Source organism: Homo sapiens, chromosome 11 (genome assembly GCF_000001405.40).
Source record: "Homo sapiens chromosome 11, GRCh38.p14 Primary Assembly".
Lineage (NCBI taxonomy): Eukaryota > Metazoa > Chordata > Mammalia > Primates > Hominidae > Homo > Homo sapiens.
Window position 1 is genome coordinate 66804631 of NC_000011.10, and position 19956 is coordinate 66824586.

Sequence of the window (19956 nt, forward strand, 5' to 3'; positions counted from 1 at the left end):
GGATTAAAAATAATGAGTGCTTGACGGCTGGGTGCAGTGGCTTACACCTGTAATCCCAGCACTTTGGCAGGCCGAGGTGGGCGGATCACTTGAGGTCAGGGGTTTGAGACCAGCCTGGCCAATATGGTGAAACCCTGTCTACTAAAAATACAAAAATTAGGCCGGGCGTGGTGGCTCACACCTGTAATCCCAGCACTTTGGGAGGCTGAGGCGGATGGATCACAAGGTCAGGACTTGGAGACCAGCCTGGCCAACATGGTGAAACCCCATCTTAGTAAATACAAAAATTAGCTGGGCATGGTGGCAGGCGCCTGTAATCCCAGCTACTCAGGAGGCTGAGGCAGGATAATCACTTGAACCTGGGAGGCAAAGGTTGCAGTGAGCCGAGATCGCAGCCACTGCACTCCAGCGTGGGCAACAGAGTGAGATTCCGTCTCAAAAAAATAAATTAATTAAAGCCAGGCGTGGTGGTGTACGCCTATAGTCCCATCTACTTGGGAGGCTGAGGCAGGAGAATCACTTGAACCTGGGAGGTGGAGGCTGCAGTGAGCCAAGAACACGACACTGCACTCTAGCCTCGGTGACAGAGCAAGACTCTGCCTCAGAAAAAATAAAAATAAAATAACAATAATAATGAGTGCTTGAATCTAAAGTGTGGTAGGCACGGAAAGGCCAGACTTATCACCTGAATTAATCAACAAAATGTGGTAACCAGTTCATTATTAAGGTAGGGAGAGATTAGGGGCAGGGAATGTCTAAGGTTGATGTCAGATTTCTATTCTATGTCTGTCTAGAATAGGCAAATACAGAGAGAAAGTTGATGGAGGGGCTTTTTTGTTTTTTTTTTTGGAGACAAGGTCTGGCTCTGTTGCACAGGCCAGAGTGCGGTGACACAATCTCAGCTCACTGCAACCTCTGCTTCCCGGACTCAAACCATCCTCCCACCTCAGCCTCCTAGAGACCACAGGTGCATGCCACCATGCCCAGTTAATTTTTGCATTTTTGGTAGAGACAGAGTTTCACCATGTTGCCCAGGCTGGTCTCAAACTCCTGGACTCAAGCGATCCACCAGGCTCGGCCTCCCAAAGTTTTGGGATTACAGGCATAAGCCACTGTGCTCGGCCTGGAGGGGCTTCTTTTCAGAGTAATGAAAGTGTTCTAAAATTGATGGTGGTAGTGACTGCACAACTCTTTGAATATTCTAAAATCCATTTTATTACACATTTAAAATGAGTGAATTGTATGGTATGTGAATTGTATCTCAATAAAGCTATTTAAAAATATTTCCATGAATAACTGACAGAATAATGATACTTTCAGCAAGATAAAAAAACATTAATAGCAGATTTAGGAGATAAAGAAGATGAGTTTGACATTAAACATGTTGAGTTTATGGTGTCTCAAGACATCCTTTGAACATAGTAAGGAGCTATATAGGAATTTGGTCTGGAACTTGGAAATGGTCAGATTTAGAGATACAGAATTTTAGAGTCTCAGTTTCCTCCATAGGTAAGAGTCGTGTAGTGCTGTGTTTAGAGCATGGCACAGGAGTGTAAATGTTGGATTCACTACTAATTAGCTGTGTGACTGTAGGCAACTCACTTAACCAGCCTAAGCCTTTACTTCCTCTGCTTTAAAATGAGGATGATACTTATCTCATAGGTTTAGTTTCCCTTGCAAAAATTGGTTTTCTGTTCTTTTGGGGTTTGTTTGCTCGTTTTAGAATTAAGTATAATAATCCATGTGAAGCTCCTAGCATATAATGAGTACTCAATAATATTAATAATTGTTATTGTCATATGATTGAAGCTATAGGAGTAAATGAAGTTATAGAAAATTATAAACAATGAGAACAGGCCGGACACGGTGGCTCATGCCTGTAATCCCAGCACTTTGGGAGGCCGAAGCTGGCGGAGCACTTGAGGTCAGGAGTTTGAGACCAGCATGGCCAACATGGCAAAACCCTGTCTCTATTAAAAATACAAAAATTAGCTGGACATGGTGGCACATGACTGTAGTCCCAGCTACTCGGGAGACTGAGACAGGAGAATTACTTGAACCCAGGAGGCAGAGGTTGCAGTGAGCACTGCATTCCAGCCTGGGCGACAGAGCAAGACTCTGTCTCAAAATAAAAAAAAAGAGAGAACAGAAGAGGCGTGGTATGATAGATGTCAGCTATCTGATGTTGCATATCAGATATCAAAAGATACCATAGTATCTTTTAGGGAGGTGGAGGGAGCAGGATAGTGATGAAGACTATGCTTGGACATTTTCTATTTTAAAACATGCTTTTTCTTTATATCTAGATAGTACAGAACAGTATAGAATAAATAAGTTTCTTCTTCTTCCTCATTCCATCATCTAGAAGGGATAAGACAGACAAATTTTTTGTCCTCTTGGGGAAAATTTAACAGATAGATATTAGGTAGTGATAAGTGCAGTGGAGATAAATAGAACAAAGTAGTAGAGAATGATGGAGATGTTATTTTAAATATGGGCAGTGAAGCCTCTAAGGAGGTGATGTTTTAAAAAAGAGAGAGAGCTAGCTATGAAAATTCTGTTGAGATTTTACTTTCTGAAAGTGGCAAACTTGATAATTTAGACCAACCTTCTCAATGAAGGCAAAGGCTAGATGAAATATTAAAACATCATAAAAGCAGGCCGGGTGTGGTGGCTCACGCCTGTAATCCCAGCACTTTGGGAGGCCAAGGTGGATGGATCACCTGAGGTCAGGAGTTCGAGACCAGCCTGACCAACATGGAGAAACCCTGTCTCTATTAAAAATACAAAATTAACCAGGCATGGTTGTGCATGCCTGTAATCCCAGCTACTCAGGAGGCTGAGGCAGGAGAATCTCTTGAACCTGGGAGGCGGTGGTTGCGGTGAGCCGAGATCGCGCCATTGCACTCCAGCCTGGGCAACAAGAGTGAGACTCCATCTCAAAAAACAAACAAACAAACAAAAAAATCATAAAAGCATCAAAGAGCTAGTGAAGAGGAAGAGTTTCTGTGCCATGATTTAGGAGAGGTTTGAATTACAGAGAGCTGAGCCTAGCATTGGGGGATGCTTTTGCCCTGGAGCAGTTTGCCAATTAGAGCAAGCAGTTGAGAGGCTAAGATGTATTAATACTTCCAAATCAGTGCAGGACAAGAAGGCCAAAGAATCCAGGACCTGCTGAGCTTGGGAGTGCTGCTAAAAACACCTCTTGCCTTGGGCAAGGGATAACTAGAAGGCTATATTTTAAGGAGTAAGGTGAACCTGAAATAAATTACTCTTCACATGGACTGTATATGCTTTTTGGTCATCTAGGCAGGCCAGAAAATCTTGAACTTTGAAATTGGATTAGGATGATTTTAGATTTGTTAGTTCTAGATGTTTTATAGAAGCAAACAAAAATTTCTAGAGGAAAATAACTGCATCCTGTGCTCCCAATTATTTAACACTTTTTCAAATACAGTGTCCCATGGTGCATATGCACACACACATGCACAGTCACAAATAACCAGGTGTAAGAAAGGACAAGATAATATGAACAAGAGCTAGCAAAAACAAAATCACAGAAACACCCACTGGGACTCCAGATACTGGTGATATCAGATATTGACTTTAAAAAGTTATGCTTAGCTGGGTGTGGTGGTTCACACCTATAATCTCAGCACTTTGGGAGGCTGAGGCAGGAGGATTGCTTGAGCCTGCAAGTTCGAGATCAGCCTGGGAAACACAGTGAGACCCCCATCTCTATACAAGTTACCTGTGCATGTGTGGTGCATGCCTGTGGTGCCACCTACTCAGGAGGCTGAAGTGGGAAGATTGCTTGAGCACAGGAGGTCAGGACTGCAGTGAGCCATGATCGTGCCATTGCCCTTCAGCCTGGGTGACGTGAGACCAGTTTCAAAAAAAAAAAAATGAAAAATTATGCTTACTATGTTGATGAAAATGAAAGCAAAGTTTGAAAATTTTACTAGAAAACTGAAACTGTAAAATATGAAATACCTTTTAACAAGAACAAAACAGAAATTGTAGAATCAAGAAATATAATAACCAATGTTGAATAAAATTCAGTACACTGGTTTAACAGCAGATTAAGTACAACTTAAGTGAATTTGTAAACTAAAAGCTAAAGATAGCAAGAACTTAGCAAAAATAAAACAAAGAGACAAGTTATGGAAAATACAGAAGAGAGGGGTTAACAGAGTAAAGAGTAAAACTGTCTAATGTATATTTAATTGATGTCCAAAAAGAGAAGAGAGAAGAGAAAATAGGGCAGAAACAATATTTAAAGAGTTAATGGCTGAAACAACTGAGACAGATTTGTGTGTGTGTGTGCGTGTGTGTGACGGAGTCTCGCTCCGTCGCCCAGGCTGGAGTGCAGTGGCTCGATCTGGCTCACTGCAAGCTCCGCCTCCCGGGTTCATGCCATTCTCCTGCCTCAGCCTCCCAAGTAGCTGGGACTACAGGCACCCGCCACCACGCCAGGCTAATTTTTTGTATTTTTAGTAGAGACGGGGTTTCACCGTGTTAGCCAGGATGGCTGAGACAGATTTAAGAACAGAATAATCAAGCAGTATAAATAAAAAAGATTTCTACACCTAAAGAGATGAAAAACAGAGAAGAATCTTAAAATCAGTCAGGAGGACAAATCATCTTTAAAAGATAAATTAACAGTTGACTTCCCCATACCAACAGAAGGTGTTAGACTAATAGTGTTAATGTCTTGAAATAAAATCATTACCAACCTAGAATTTCATATCCAATCCAAATATTCCTCAACATAAAAGGTAATAAACTTACCTGTATATTATGTTAAAATTATAATCCACGTAACAAGAAGAATTAATTCAACAGACTTTAGAACATGGTGTTTTGACTATACGTTCTTAGCAGGATATACTCTAAGGATGAAATGGAAGTCCAAAGACCTCTTAAAATTTATTCAGTGGCATGATTGTTAGTAATAATATTGGTATTTTATATTGGAATTATTGTATGCATACTTATGATAAATAATTATGTTAACAATGTTAGGAACCAAAGTTTTTAGCATCAGATAGAAGATATGTGAGTGTAAATTCAGAGAAATAACTATTTTTTTTAAAGGGATCTCACTCTGTTGCCCAGGCTAAAGTGCAGTTGTGCGATCATAGCTCACTGCAACCTCGAACTTCTGGGGTTAAGCAGTCCTCCTACCTCAGCCTCTCCTGAGTAGCTGGGACTACAAGCATGCACCATCATGCCTGGCTAATTTTTTTATTTTTATTTTTTGTAGAGACAGGGTCTCACCCCCGAGTTTCCAAATTTAATGAAAACTATAAACCTGCAGATTCATGATCAATGAACCCTAAGTGTAAGAAATATGAAGAAAATTATACCAAGTCACATCATAATCAAAGTATTTGAAGCCAGTAATAAAAAAATCTTAAAAGCAGCTGGAGATAAGACACATTATGTATAGAGGAACAAAATAATTATGGCAGATTTCTCACTGGAAACAGTGTTAGCTAGAAGAAAGTGGGGTAACATCTTTATAAAGTACTGAGAGAAAAAAGGCAAAATGAAGAATTTTTCAGACATAGAAAAGGTGAAAGAATTTATCACCAGAAGACCTGTATTATAAGAAATGTTAACAGAAATCTTTTAGGTAGAAGAAAAATGTTGCCAGACGGAATTCTGAATCTACCCAAAAAAGGAAGAGCACTGGAAGTGGTGGCTATGCGGGTAGATACAAAATACTTTTGTCCTTTTAAAAACACAAAATATCCTTCTTGAGTATATAAACCAAAAAGCATCCAAGACAGGTTTCAATCAGTTTAGAAGTTTATTTTGCCAAGGTTAAGGATGTTCCTGGGAGACAGGTCTGTGCCTTTCTCTAAAGATGGTTTTGAGGTCTTCAGTATTTAAAGGGGAAACGCAGGCTGGAGAGGAAAGATGGAGGGGATGATCACATTATTGAATCCATATGTTACAAGAGAAAAGGAGCAAGTAGGGGAACAGTCAATTATGTATTTGTCTTGTGCTCAGTAAAGTGGCCCTTTATATAATAGAAGGTGAACATTACAGTAGCTACCTGTAGAGGTATTTAACCCTTTATCTGTAGCTATCTGCTTAGGAACAAAAGGAGAGACAGCTTCTTGCATGACTCAGCTTTCAGCTAAATTATTTCCTTTTGGCATAGTGATTTGGGGTCTTGAGTTTTAATTTTCCTTTCACAAGTACCTTACCAGAAAAAAAAAAATCTTTAAAAAACAAGTCTTGAAGTCTCTCCCTTCAGGCTCCAATTACACATTCCTGAATTAGGCCACCTAAAGTTATCCTGCAGTTCACTGAGGCTTTATTCATTTATGTAGAGACAGGGTCTTGCTGTTTCCCAGGCTGGAGTGCAGTGGCTTGATCTTAGCTCACTGCAGCCTTGAACTCCTAAGCTCGTGTGACCTTCCCACTTCAGCCTCCTGAGTGGCTAGGACTACAGGTGTACACCACCATACCTGGCTAATTTTGCATGTGTGTGTGTGACATATCTTGCTATCATTTTCTATGTTCTTCATATTTCTTTTTTTTGAGATGGAGTCTCACTCTGTTGCCCAGGCTGGAGTGCAGTGGTGTGATCTCAGCTTACTGCAACCTCTGCCTCCTGAGTTCAATCAATCAGGCCCCTGAAATGATTTCTATCTCTGCCATTTCAGCCTCCCGAGTAGCTGGGACTACATGTGCCCACCACCATGGCCAGCTAATTTTCGTATTTTTAATAGAGACAGGGTTTCGCCATGTTGGCCAGGCTGGTCTCGAACTCCTGACCTCAAGTGATCCGCCTGCCTTGGCCTCCCAAAGTGCTGGGACTACAGGCATGAGCTACTGTGCCCAGCCTATACTCTTCATATTTCTTATGCTTAGGGTTCATTGATCATGGATCTGCAAAAATATAATGTATAAGGTTTATAACATCTATGGAAATAAAACCTGTGACAATAGCACAAAGGCCAAGAGGAGAGAAGTGGAAGTATATTGTTGGATTCTTAAACTTTATATGAATTGTTATAATATCATTTGAAGGTAGACTGTGATAAGTTAAAGTTGTATACTAATAAAGCCTGGCAATCCCTGGTTTAATGCAACAGTTATAACTAATAACTTAAAAAGGAGATAAAATGGAGTTATAAAAAATTCCTGGCAGGCATGGTGGCTCTCACCTGTAGTCCCAACTACCTTGGAGGCTGATGCAGAGAGAGGCTCGCTTGAGCACAGGAATTTGAGGCTGCAGTGAGCTATGATCACATCATTGCACTCCAGTCTGAGCAACAGAATGAGACCTTGTGTCTTATAAAAGGGTGGGGAGAGAGAGAAAACACTTTTTAAAATGTAAAAAACAATTTCTAATCCAAAAATAGAAAAGAGGAAAAAGGAAACAAAGAATACAAGCAAGAAATGGAAAAAAGATGATGGATTTAAACTCCACTATAGCTATCTTCATATTACAAGTAAATGATTTAAACAACCCAATTATAAGACAACTGCACATCTTGGCTCCTCAAACACTCCCCTCTTATTCTGAGTTTGCATCTTTTTTTTTGAGACGGAGTCTGGCTCTGTCGCCCAGGCTGGAGTGCAGTGGCGCAATCTCGGCTCACTGTAAGCTCTGCCTCCCGGGTTCACGCCATTCTTCTGGCTCAGCCTCCCTAGTAGCTGGGACTACAGGCGCCCGCCACTACGCCCGGCTAATTTTTTGTATTTTTAGTAGAGACGGGGTTTCACCGTGTTAGCCAGGATGGTCTCAATCTCCTGACCTCATGATCCGCCCACCTCAGCCTCCCAAAGTGCTGGGATTATAGGTGTGAGCCACCGCGCCTGGCCCTGAGTTTGCATCTTAAAAATCCCCTTGCCCTAAACAGTGAGTCAGCCTTAGTTCATGTGTTAATGCCTTCTGAGATTTGTGAGGGAGACTTCATTTATGGGTATAAAGCCTTTCCATAATGCCTCAGTGCCCACTGGGTAGGAATTTTAATCTTCACAATACCTTGTGTTTACCCCATAAGAAAGAGGATGAAAACGAATGAAAGATAAAGGAAAGCACACATTCTGGTCTCTGGCCTTGGTTCAGGGGACAAGAAAGGTTAAGCAGTGGTTCTTAATGGGGTAATTTTGTCCTTAAAGGACATTTGACAATGTCTGGAGACGTTTTTTATTGTCATGGAGGGGGTAACGTAAGAAGGGTGCTACTGGCATTTGGTGGCTAGAGGCCAGGGATTCTGCTAAACATCCTATAGTGCACAGGACTGCCCACCGCAGTGAAGAATTATCTGGCCCAAAGTGTCACTAGTGCAGAGGTTAAGAAACCCTGGGTTACAGGTAGGGTGAGAGTGGGAATGGGAAGTTCAGAGATAGAAACCATTTCAGGGGCATGCCTTCCTTTGTTTTAGATAATAGGTTTGGAGACAATCCGAGGAAGTTTCCTTCTCAATCTAAGTATACTCAAATACTTCCTAGAAGATATTCTCTTGTATATACTTCTAGCATGTATCACATTGTATTACAGCTTACCGGCTTTTATGTCTGTCTCCCATGTTGTAAATATGATAAACTTGAGGACAGGTATTATCTGGATATTTGTCTTTGTACCCCAAGAACTTAGAACTTAAAACAATGTTAACCTGTGGTGCCTTTCAAATCTATGACCATGTGAACCGGATGAATAAATAAACTGTCTTAATATTATATCTGTAGCTCACACTTATTAAACCCAGAATAAATTTCTGGGGATCCTAGTGGATCTATCTCTGGTGCCTCACATCTGTCTTCAGTGTGGAAAAGGCTTAATATGTAACTGCATAGGCTGGGCATGATGGCTCACGCCTGTAATCCCAGCACTTTGGGAGGCCGAGGTGGGCAGATCACGAGGTCAAGAGATCGAGACCATCCTGGCCAACATGGTGAAACCCCGTCTCTACTAAAAATACAAAAATTAGTCAGGCATAGTGGCATGCACCTGTAATCCCAGCTACTTGGGAGGCTGAGGCAAGAGAATCACTTGAACCTGGGAGGTGGAGGTTGCAGTGAGCTGAGATGGCGCCATTGCACTCCAGCCTGGGCGACAGAGCGAGACTCCATCTCAAAAAAAAAAAAAAAGTAACTGCATAGCACACTTATGGGAGTGTAAACCAGGTCAGTGTTGTTTGTTTGTTATACAAGTGAATACATAGTCATAAGATACTAAAATTTGGCAGTTTTCTTTAGCAACTACACATATTTCTATATGGACCTTTGGGTCTGCCTCTGATATTGTCAACTTGGGAGCAGCCGATGACTACTTTCTTCAAAGATACCTCTTCTTTAGTTGACTGGAAAAAATACCATTTGTGTATGATACCCAATTTGGATCTCAATTTGGATAGAGGTATATCCTCCCTCTTTCTGCACAGGAATTAAGACATTTGAAGAATATTAGATAAATGAAAGGAAATATGAATAGAACGTGTGTATAAAAATATGACCAGAGATCTGATGGCCCAGGTTGGGGTTTGGGGGTCAGGGTCTGGCCAAATGTGAGAGACCACTTGAAGTGAGGCAAACAGGTGTCAAACAGGCAAGCTCTTTCAGAGCTTGTTTTGGCATTGCATGTTTTTTTTTGTTGCTTGTTTTTGTTTTTGTTTTGTTTGAGACAGAGTCTTGCTCTGTTGCCCAGGCTGGAGTGCAGTGGTATGATCTTGGCTGGCTGCAACCTCCGCCTCCCGGGTTCAAGTGATCCTCCTGCCTCACCCTTCCGAGTAGCTGGGATTACAGGTGCCTACCACCATGCCTGGCTAATAGTTTTTTGTATTTTTGGTAGAGACAGAGTTTCCCCATGTTGGCCAGGCTGGTCTTGAACTCCTGACCTCAAGTGGCCCACCTGTCTCAGCCTCTCAAAGTGCTGGTATTACAGGTGTGAGCCACCGCACCCGGCCTGGCATTGCATGTTGATACTGGTTCTCCTCTTACTTCCTCTGCTGCCTCCTCTATTCCTGGTCCTTCTGTTAGATACTTGTTCAGAGGATTTCTAATGTACCTAATCTGTCAACTCTGGGCCTTTACAAAGGTGAGTAAGGGAGCAATGATACCTCTGAACTACTGTGGAAGAGAAATGCTTCATAATGAACTGAGAAAATCCACATAAAATTCCTTAGAAAAAGTTAAAACGCATACAAATGCAAGATGTAATAGTATTAGGCCTAGGAAGCTGGCTGTAATATTCCCATAAGCTCTAACCACACCAGCTTTGGGTGAATCATGCTAAAAGCTGGAGGTTAATAACTGAGCTAATAAAACTGGGAAATTGGAGTATGCGACCATGGGCTGATATCTAGGAGGGGTTGCAGTTTTGAGATTGACTGTTCTAACTAGAATCCTTTGAAATTTAGAAGGTAGTCTGGTCGTCTGGCTCCTGAAGAAGACGACCAGTAGGGAAGAGGTATTCTGCGGCTATGACTGGTATGAGAACATTGAAGCCTACTGGGATGGGGCAGTATCTTAGAGGGAATGATAGACTCCACCGATTTCGAATAGAGATATGACTGGTGAATTTCTAGGGATCGCCATACCTCCTTTTCTCTTTCATTTTTGTTTTTGGGCTTTGCTGGTTTAGTTTTTTGCCAATTCATGGTCCTGAACTTTCTCAGTTAACTTTGGAAATGAATAACGTAGGAAATGTCCTCTCATCTCCCTCCCTTATTACTCTAAAGGACAGAACCAGGATCCACATGGAGGTACTTCTCTACATGGATCTGAAATATGGGACTATCCTGATTGTATTCTAAAGGATCAAGGTGCTAGAAAGTGACCACTGGGCAATGGATTACATTTGGGGATACAAATATATAGTATTGGGGCTAAGAGAACAGGTTTTTTAGTCAGTCTAGCAAAGTCTAGAACTCAGTTCCACCACCTACTGGCTCCCGTTGGACGAGGTATTTAACCTATCTGTGCCTCTTTTCTTATCTGTAAAAGGGCATAAGAATAGGTTCTATCCGATACTGTTGTTGTGAAGTCTAAATGTTGAAATAGTACATAAGCATTTGATGCAGTACCTGGCACATAACACAAATTAGCTGTTGTCATTACACTCAGGTGAATCTAACCTCTTACCAGCCATACCTGCCTTAGAAAGTTGTACAAGGAATCAATGAATTTATTGTGTAGAGCTTCTCAGTAATGTAAAGGAGTGCTGTTTGGCTTGCATTTTACACACATAGTTACTATTTTAATGTTCTTCCTGTGAGTCATTATGATTTGCTTCCATCATGTGGATAGAGAAACAGGTTCAGGAGGGTAAATGGGTGTTCAGATTTAGATCTCCTATTCTCAGATCCTTCTTTGTTCAGAATACAGGTTCTGTAGTCACTTTGTATTTCAAGAGCTTTACTTATCTTAGAAATTCGTGTAATATCTTGTCCTCTAGATTTGGTGCTTCCAGATGTGAGTTATCAGGTGGAATCCAGTGAGGAGGATCAGTCTCAGACTATGGATCCTCAAGGACAAACTCTGCTGCTTTTTCTCTTTGTGGATTTCCACAGTGCATTTCCAGTCCAGCAAATGGAAATCTGGGGTAAGTATAAGAGAATGGGGTTGCCAGCTGGGGTGTGCCAAATGCTAAGAGAGAGGGAAACTTTGTGTAATGCACACATCTAAATTAGATATATTTCTGTAGAATAAATAAGTTCAGTGAAAAACCTTGCTTAATAAAATGAACATATCCTATAGAAAAGATTCATATATTGATGCATCGCTTAAATGATGACATTTCTAGTCTGGTTGGCCAGAAATCAGCAGATACTTCATATATTGCTCCCTAGGGATCAGCGGTTTTCAACGTTAGCCGCACAATATATTACCTGGAGAGCATCTAAAATGCTTACTCCCCAGAGATTCTGATTTCCAGATGGACTGAGGTGGGGCTTAGGGTTCAGTATGTTTTTAAATTTTTTTTATTTTTAGAGATGCTCTGTCGTCCAGGCTGGAGTACAGTTGCGCGAGCATAGCTCAATGCAACATCAAACTCCTGGGCTCATGTGGTCCTCCCGCTTCAGCCTCCCAAGTAGCTGGGCCTACAGATGCATGCCAGTGCACCTGGATAACTTTTTCAATTATATTTTGTATTATTATTTTTTGTATGGAGGTCTTGCTTTGTTGCCCAGGCTGTTCTCGAACTCCTGGCTTCAAGTAATCTTCCTTCCTCGGCATCCCCAAGTGCTTGTCAGTATGTTTTTAAAGTTTCTCAGGCTGGGTGCGGTGGCTCATGCCTGTAATCTCAGCACTTTGGGAGGTTGAAGTGGGTGGATCACTTGCAGCCAGGAGTTCAAGGCCAGCCTAGCTAACACGGCGAAACCCCATCTCTACTAAAAATACAAAAATTAGCTGGCATGGTGGCAGCTTCTTGTAATCCCAGCTATTCAGGAGGCTGAGGCAGGAGAATCTCTTGAACCCAGGAGGCAGAGGTTGCAGTGAGCCAAGATTGTACCACTGCACTTCAGCCTGGACAAGAGATTGAGACTCTGTCTCAAGAAATAAAATAAAATAAAATAAAATAAAATCACTTCTCAGGTGATTCTGATGTACAGCAAGGCTTGGGAACTTTTCATCATCATGCTGCCTTTCCAGGTGGATTTAAAAAATGCACACCTGTTCTTATTCAGGTATGCAACAGGGAACCTTTGGTGTTTATCTATTAGATGGGTGACAATTTGTTATCAATCAGAAAGGTTATCTATGATAGAGATAAAACAGTGGTTTCATTTTCTGGTCCATGAAACACATGCATCAGAATCACTGGATGATGATGATGATGATGATGATGATGATTTTTGAGACAGAGTCTCCCTCTGTCGCCCAGGCTGGAGTGCAATAGCGTGATCTTGACTCACTGCAGCCTCCACCTCCCGGGTTCAAGCAATTTTCCTGCCTCAGCCTCCTGAGTAGCTGGAATTACAGGCACACGCCACCACACCTGGCTAATTTTTGTATTTTTAGTAGAGATGGGGTTTCACCATGTTGGTCAGGCTGGTCTCGAACTCCTGACCTCGTGATCCACCCGCCTCAGCCCCCCAAAGTACTGGGATTACAGGTGTGAGCCACCACACCAGGCCATTATTATTATTATTGTAGAGGCAAGGTCTGAACTCCTGGGCTCAAGTGATCCTCCCACCTCGGCCTCCCAAAGTGCTGGGATTACAGGCATGAGCAATCGCACTGGCCTCAAGTGATTCTTAAATAGAGTAAAATTTGAAAACCACTGAGCATGAGCAGGAGTTGACTTCTGCATTTTAATCCAATAAACCCTGGGACATAAATTTAAGTGTTTCTCAATGCCCTCCTAATCTTTGAGGAAAGTTACAAGGAGAAGTGGAGCTTATACAAATTTGGGGAAAGGTTCGTAAGCCTCCCTTTTGGTGCTTCTGATATGTCTCTGTTCTCCTTTCTCTATGGGCCAATGTGTTTTCGTGGGACTCTATTCTCCAGGCACTCTAGTGCTATTTGGTGTGGCCCTGCTCCTACTGAGTCATAAGAAAAAAGAGACTGCTTACACCAGATCAAAAGAGCTCATGTTGACTGGTGTCAATTATTTATTGAACAAACCATTGTTGGCTGTGGTATTCTTCCTTCTACCTTCCTTCTGAGCCTCTCAGAAGTAAGATAAGGCAAACTTTTCCCTGCCTTTTCCCAACACATGCTGTACACACTAGGAGAGAAGCACTGTTTCCTGGGGCTCTGGCTTGTAGCTCTTTATTTGAGGAGCTAATGGTCTTTGGTGTACCGCCGTTCTGATGATTAACACCAGGGGAATGGAAAATAGAAGATACCTAAACTAATGTGAGGATTCCTGGGGCTGTTCCCTGTGGCTTATGCTCACATAGACAGAGGTTGGTAAGAGCAGCAGCTGATTATTGTGGAAAAGACATCAGGGTGGAATCAAGAGACCTGGGTTTAATTTTAGCACTGATACCAACTTCCTCAATGATTTTTGGGAAGTATGTCACGTAAATCTGAGCCTCCCTTTTCATATCTTTAACATGAGATTGTTAGGCTAGGCCCCATCAAAGGCCCTTCCAGGTCTAAAACCCTCTTAAGACTTAAGATCTGCTACCTTCTGGCAGGCTTTTTTTAAGGTCTGTCAGAAGGTAATCCTTGGATAATGCAAGCCTGATAACATGTTCTGAGCCCTAAAGAACATTCCTTAAGAACTCAGATTCCTCAGAAACACAGTATTATCATTCCTGAACTACTGTGATAATTTGTACACTTCTGTTTAGCTTGACCCTGAAGGCCTGCAGTATCTCAGTTGTTGTACTCAGTATTGGATTTAAAAGAAATTCATCAATGTATTAGTAAACACAGTAAGGCTCTCCCATCTTACACATCTGGTAATTTAAGACTAGCCTCTGAAGAAGATGCACAGTGAGGGAAGGTAGATATAGACATAGTGATAATTTTACCTTCTCTTCCCCCTTTTCTTTCTCATATCCTTAAAAGCTTTCTCTAGAGCCTCTTTTTTAGGAAACAGATGGTGCAAAGTTAGTCTGTTTCCATGTGTCTTTAAGAAAATTACTTAATTGGCCTTATGCCCACCTACCTTGTCATGGTAACTTTTCTGTGATTAACTCATTTTTTTTTTCTTGTGACTAACTCATTATTTTCCCCAATGTCAAAAGCATTTGGTGGTCAAAAGTTTTAGGAATGAACTTTGACTTTTAAATTAAATGTCTGCTTTCAAAAGAGATCTGATTTCTTGAAGCTGTTCTTAAAACCAAACTATGGAAAATACCAATCTAGATGATACATTAACATAGCAATAGCAATATTTTGAAACTGTACAGTGTACATTTCAAAACACTTCATGGGCTAGGCACTGTGGCTTGGCTCCTGTAATCCCAATACTTTGAGGGGCCAAAGCAGGAGGACCGCTTGAGCCCAAGAGTTCAAGACCAGCTCGGGCAACACAGCGAGACCTCGTCTCTACATATACAAATTTGCCCGGGCATGGTCCCTCACACCTGTAATCCCAGCACTTTGGGAGGCCGAGGCGGGCGGATCACACTGAGGTCAGGAGTTTGAGACCAGTCTGGCCAACATGGCGAAACCCCGTCTCTACTAAAAATACAAAAATTAGCTGGGTGTGGTGGCAGGCGCCTGTAATCCCAGCTACTCGGGAGGCTGAGGCAAGATAATCACTTGAATCCAGGAGGCGGAGGTTGCAGTGAGCCGAGATCACGCCATTGCACTCCAGCTCGGGCAACAAGAGCAAAACTCTTGTCTTAAAAAAAAAAAAAAAAAAAAAATTGGCCAGGCATGGTGGTGGTGTACACCTGTGGTCCCAGCTATTCGGGAGGCTGAGGTGGGAGGATCACTTGAGCCCCGGTGGTCGAGGCTGCAGTGAGCCAAGATCGTGTCACTGCACTCCAGGCTGGGCAACAAAACCCACAAAACACTTTGTGTACATTATCGCAGTTTATCTACACAACATACCTGTGAGAGCAGGTGGTATAAAGCCATTTTCTATACTGAAGAAAAGATTTCATCACCACTAGTTGATGGCAGAATTGGCCCTAGAATCTATGTTCTCCCTGACTCCAGCTCCAGAATCCTTTTGAGCTTACCATATATTACGTTCCCTACCAGGAAAGGATCATGGTGCCTTGTGGTAGAAAATGTTCTTCTGGTTTGCATTTTTAATACAGTCCTGGAAAAAGCCAGCCAGTTTTAGGCTGCTTCCCATAGAATTCTGAACACTGAAAACAAAGAATAATCAAGAAGGATTTTCTCCAGGTGACCTGTAAATTTGGCTTCCTGTGCCTGCTGCATCGGGATCATTAAATGGTGGCCTATTGTTTGATGGCATAGTTTTTTTGCCTGTTGCTCTCACATATTAGCTTTTCTGAATGAGACTGAGCAGTGGTGCCTGTGGTTACTTTAACAGAGATAATCTCCCATTTAAAAGGACCTCATACCAACAGTTCTGTGTCATCTCTGTGAATTTTAACCTTTTCTTTACCACAGTACGTCTGAAAGCACTGCCACAACAGTGATGTTCACATAGACGTAGAGTAGGGTTAGACACACTCTATAGGACCTTTGCTTCTCCCTTTCTCCTCTCCTTTGGGAGTCACTGGGATTGTTGTTTATAGTACATGGTATATATTTCTGCTATGAATTAAACAGGATCCCTTATTTGTTTCTTTAAAAAATAATGTCATTCTCCACCTTAATTTTCCTGAGCTTTCTTAGATTTATGAGTGGGAATTAGGTAGGTGTGTAAGTTGCTGGGAGATTTTGTCTAAAAAAAGGTAATTATTTGTGGATATGTAGGGGTCTCTTCTTCCAAGAGGCATCTTTCCCACTCCCAGTCCTGACTCAAAGCACATGAACAGCAATCTTGAAGTAGTTATCCTCGCTCATGGTTAATCCTTGGATAATGCAAGCCTGATACCATGTTCTGAGCCCTACTGAACATTTCTAAAGAACTCGGATTCCTCAGAAACCAGTGTTATCATTCCTGAACTACTGTGATAATTTGTACACCTCTGTTTAGCTTGATTCTGAGGGCCTGCAGTATCTCAGTCGTTGTACTCAGTATTGGATTTAAAAGAAATTCATCAGTGTATTAGTAAACAAGTGTCTTAAATCTTACACATCTGGTAATTTTTTTTTTTTTTTTTTTGAGACGGAGTCTCACTCTGTCACCCAGGCTGGAGCGCAGTGGCACAATCTTGGCTCACTGCAAGCTCCGCCTCCCGGGTTCACGCCATTCTCCTGCCTCAGCCTCCCGAGTAGCTGGGACTACAGGTGCCCGCCACCGTGCTTGGCTAATTTTTTGTATTTTTAGTGGAGACGGGGTTTCACCGTGGTCTCGATCTCCTGACCTCGTGATCCGCCCGCCTCGGCCTCCCAAAGTGCTGGGATTACAGGCCACATCTGGTAATTTAAGACTAGCTTTTGCAGATGCACAGTGAGGGGAGGTAGATATAGTGATAATTTTACCTTCTCCCTCCCCTTAGGAGTCTATACTTTGCTCACAACTCATCTCAATGCCATCCTTGTGGAGAGCCACAGTGTAGTGCAAGGTTCCATCCAATTCACTGTGGACAAGGTCTTGGAGCAACATCACCAGGCTGCCAAGGTAATAAGGAATTCACAGCCTCTTTTCTCCTATTCTCTAAGAAAAAGATAGCAAGCATATATGGCAGGCAGGGCCCAGGAGCCCTTCCTCCCTTAATGCCCCTTCCTCTCCTCTTCTGTCACCTGGGTGATCTTGTAACACTGCATCTAGCCTACAACTCAAACTTTAGCTTAGATGGATCACTGTAACCAGCTTGCTTAGTCTTACCTCCTAGTAGGTGTGTTTGGGTAAATAGGGAAATAGTTAATAGGGAAAAATGGCTGATAACACACCTCTTCCTTATGCATATAATTCCCCTTCCCACACAGACTTCTGGAGCTGCTGTTTCGCTGTGTCTTACATTCTTCCCCCATTTTCCTAATTCTTTACACCACCACTTTCTCTCCTTACCTGATTTTCTACATCCATCCATCCTGTGTACTTTTGGTAACACATTTCTTACCTCATATGGCCCCCTTTTCAGGGAAAAAACAACCACACTAAGAGAGCAGAACTAAAAGCTTTTTTTTTTTTTCCCAAATAGTGTGTCTGTTTTCTTGATCATTGTCCTATTGCTTGTCTTCTCTGATGTGTCTGTGTCAGTAAGTCACCTCTGTGAAATGCAAGAACATTTTAAAATTTTATTTTAATTCCCTAAGTGTTATGATGTAAAAATATGTGAGGATCTCAGTAACTTTTGTTGATGGATAGGAAGAATTGTTGAAATCCTGCTCTGATGGAAATGTGTGGGCCCTCTGGGATTCTCTAAACCACATCTTGGGATTCATGCAGTCTCCCCCTTACTTGTTATGTTCCCCAGGCTCAGCAGAAACTACAGGCCTCACTCTCAGTGGCTGTGAACTCCATCATGAGTATTCTGACTGGAAGCACTAGGAGCAGCTTCCGAAAGATGTGTCTCCAGACCCTTCAAGTTAGTAGGAGATTGGGATTGGGGATGCTTAAAAGTGCCAGGGTTTTGGCTGGGTACGGTGGCTCATGCCTATAATCGCAGCACTTTGGGAGGCCAAGGTAGGAGGATTGCTTGAGCCCAGGAATTTGACACCAGCCTGGGCAACACAGGGAGACCCTGTCTCTACAAGTAATTAAAAAATCACCCAGGTGGAGTGGTGCACACCTGTGGTTCCAGCTCCTCAGGAGGCTGAGGTAGGAGGATCAACTGAGCCCGGGATGTTGAGGCTGAGCCGTGATCATGCCACTGTACTCCAGCCTGGGCAACAGACTGAGACCTGTCTTAAAAAAAAAAAAAAATGCCCAGGGCAGTGGCTCATGCCTGTAATCCCAGCACTTTGGGAGGCCAAGGCGGGTGGATGACCTGAGGTCGGGAGTTTGAGACCAGCCTGACCAACATGGTGAAATCCTGTCTCTACTAAAAATACAAAATTAGCCAGTCGTGGTGGCAGTTGCATGTAATCTCAGCTACTCAGAAGGCTGAGGCAGGAGAATTGCTGGAACCCAGGTTGGGGAGGTTGCAGTGAGCCGAGATCGCCCCATTGTACTCCAGCCCAGGTGACAACAGCGAGACTCCACCTCAAAAAAAAAAAAAAAAAAAAAGCCAGGATTTTAATGACATTCTACTGCTTATCTTTGTAAAATGTACAGTATTTTTAGAAACATTACTTTATTTGCTCCACTGTGATGCTACATAGTACCAGGCTTAAGTTTTAAGAAATATTTGTTGGAATAGTAGTATGTATACCATTTTACAAATGAGAAAACAAATTATTTAAGATTTCTGCTTTCTTTAGGTCACACAGCTAGTTAAGAACAGAGCTAGGGCTGGGTGTGGTGGCTCATGCCTGTAATCCCAGCACTTTGGGAGGCTGAGGCGGTGGATTGCTTGAGGTCAGGAGTTCATGACCAGCCTGACCAACATGGTGAAACCCCGTCTCTACTAAAAATACAAAAATCAGCCAGGCGTGGTGGTGCACGCCTGTAGTCCCAGCTACTCAGGAGGCTGAGGCAGAATTGCTGAAACCCGGGAGGTGGAGGTTGCAGTGAGCCAAGATCACCCCACTGCACTCCAGCCTGGGTGACAAAGTGAGATTCCGTCTCAAAAAAGAATAAGAAAAAAAGAACAGAGCTAGGACTAGATCAGTGATTCCTAATCTAATTCCTTGTTGAAAAATGCTATCTCATGGTGACAGAATACACTGGAAATAACTGAGCAACCTTACCTATTACGTGTATGTGGCAGTACGGAATCAGAGGCTCAGGTTCAAATCCTGACTCATTTACTTATTAGTTATGTTTAGGCCTATAGTTCTGAGACTTGTCTACAAATTGGAAAAAGTAATAGTACCTCACAGAGTTATTATGAAGGTGAGAGCTAAATGTGTGCTATGGTCTGAATGTTTATATATCCCCAAAATTCATATGTTGAAATCCTAACCCCCGAACTGATAATATTAGGAGGTATGAGGCCTTTGAGAGGTGATTTAGGTCATTAGGCCTTCATGAATGGGATTAGTGCCTTTATTTTTATTTTATTATTATTTTTTGAGTCGGAGTTTCGCTCTTGTTGCCCAGGCTGGAGTGCAATGGCATGATCTTGGCTCACCGCAACCTCCGCCTCCTGGGTTCAAGCAATTCTCCTGCCTCAGCCTCCCAAGTAGCTGGGATTACAGGCATGCACCACCATGCCTGGCTAATTTTGTATTTATTATTATTATTATTATTATTATTATTATTATTATTATTATACTTTAAGTTTTAGGGTACATGTACACAACATGCAGGTTAGTTACATATGTATACATGTGCCATGTTGGTGTGCTGCACCCAGTAACTCGTCATTTAACATTAGGTATACCTCCTAATGCTAT

General features: G+C 42.2%; 1 protein-coding gene across 2 annotated transcripts in view, besides 1 other annotated feature; it reads left to right on the forward strand.

Moving 5' to 3' along the window:
* Positions 1 to 19956, forward strand: part of TOP6BL (TOP6B like initiator of meiotic double strand breaks) — a 98748-nt gene that overhangs the window by 59862 nt on the left and 18930 nt on the right. For both annotated transcript variants that reach the window (NM_024650.4, NM_001302084.2), the window contains 4 exons: positions 9235 to 9385; positions 11423 to 11569; positions 17013 to 17134; positions 17934 to 18044. In NM_024650.4, the coding sequence (NP_078926.4) occupies positions 9235 to 9385; positions 11423 to 11569; positions 17013 to 17134; positions 17934 to 18044 (531 nt within the window). The remainder of the gene's footprint in view (positions 1 to 9234; positions 9386 to 11422; positions 11570 to 17012; positions 17135 to 17933; positions 18045 to 19956) is intronic.
* Positions 7948 to 8731: an enhancer, noted in NCBI's record as "H3K27ac-H3K4me1 hESC enhancer chr11:66580049-66580832 (GRCh37/hg19 assembly coordinates)". NCBI's record gives its function as "activates a minimal SCP1, AML or CMV promoter by ChIP-STARR-seq in naive H9 embryonic stem cells {active_cell/tissue: H9 hESC(naive)}" and the evidence as "EXISTENCE:reporter gene assay evidence [ECO:0000049][PMID:30033119]".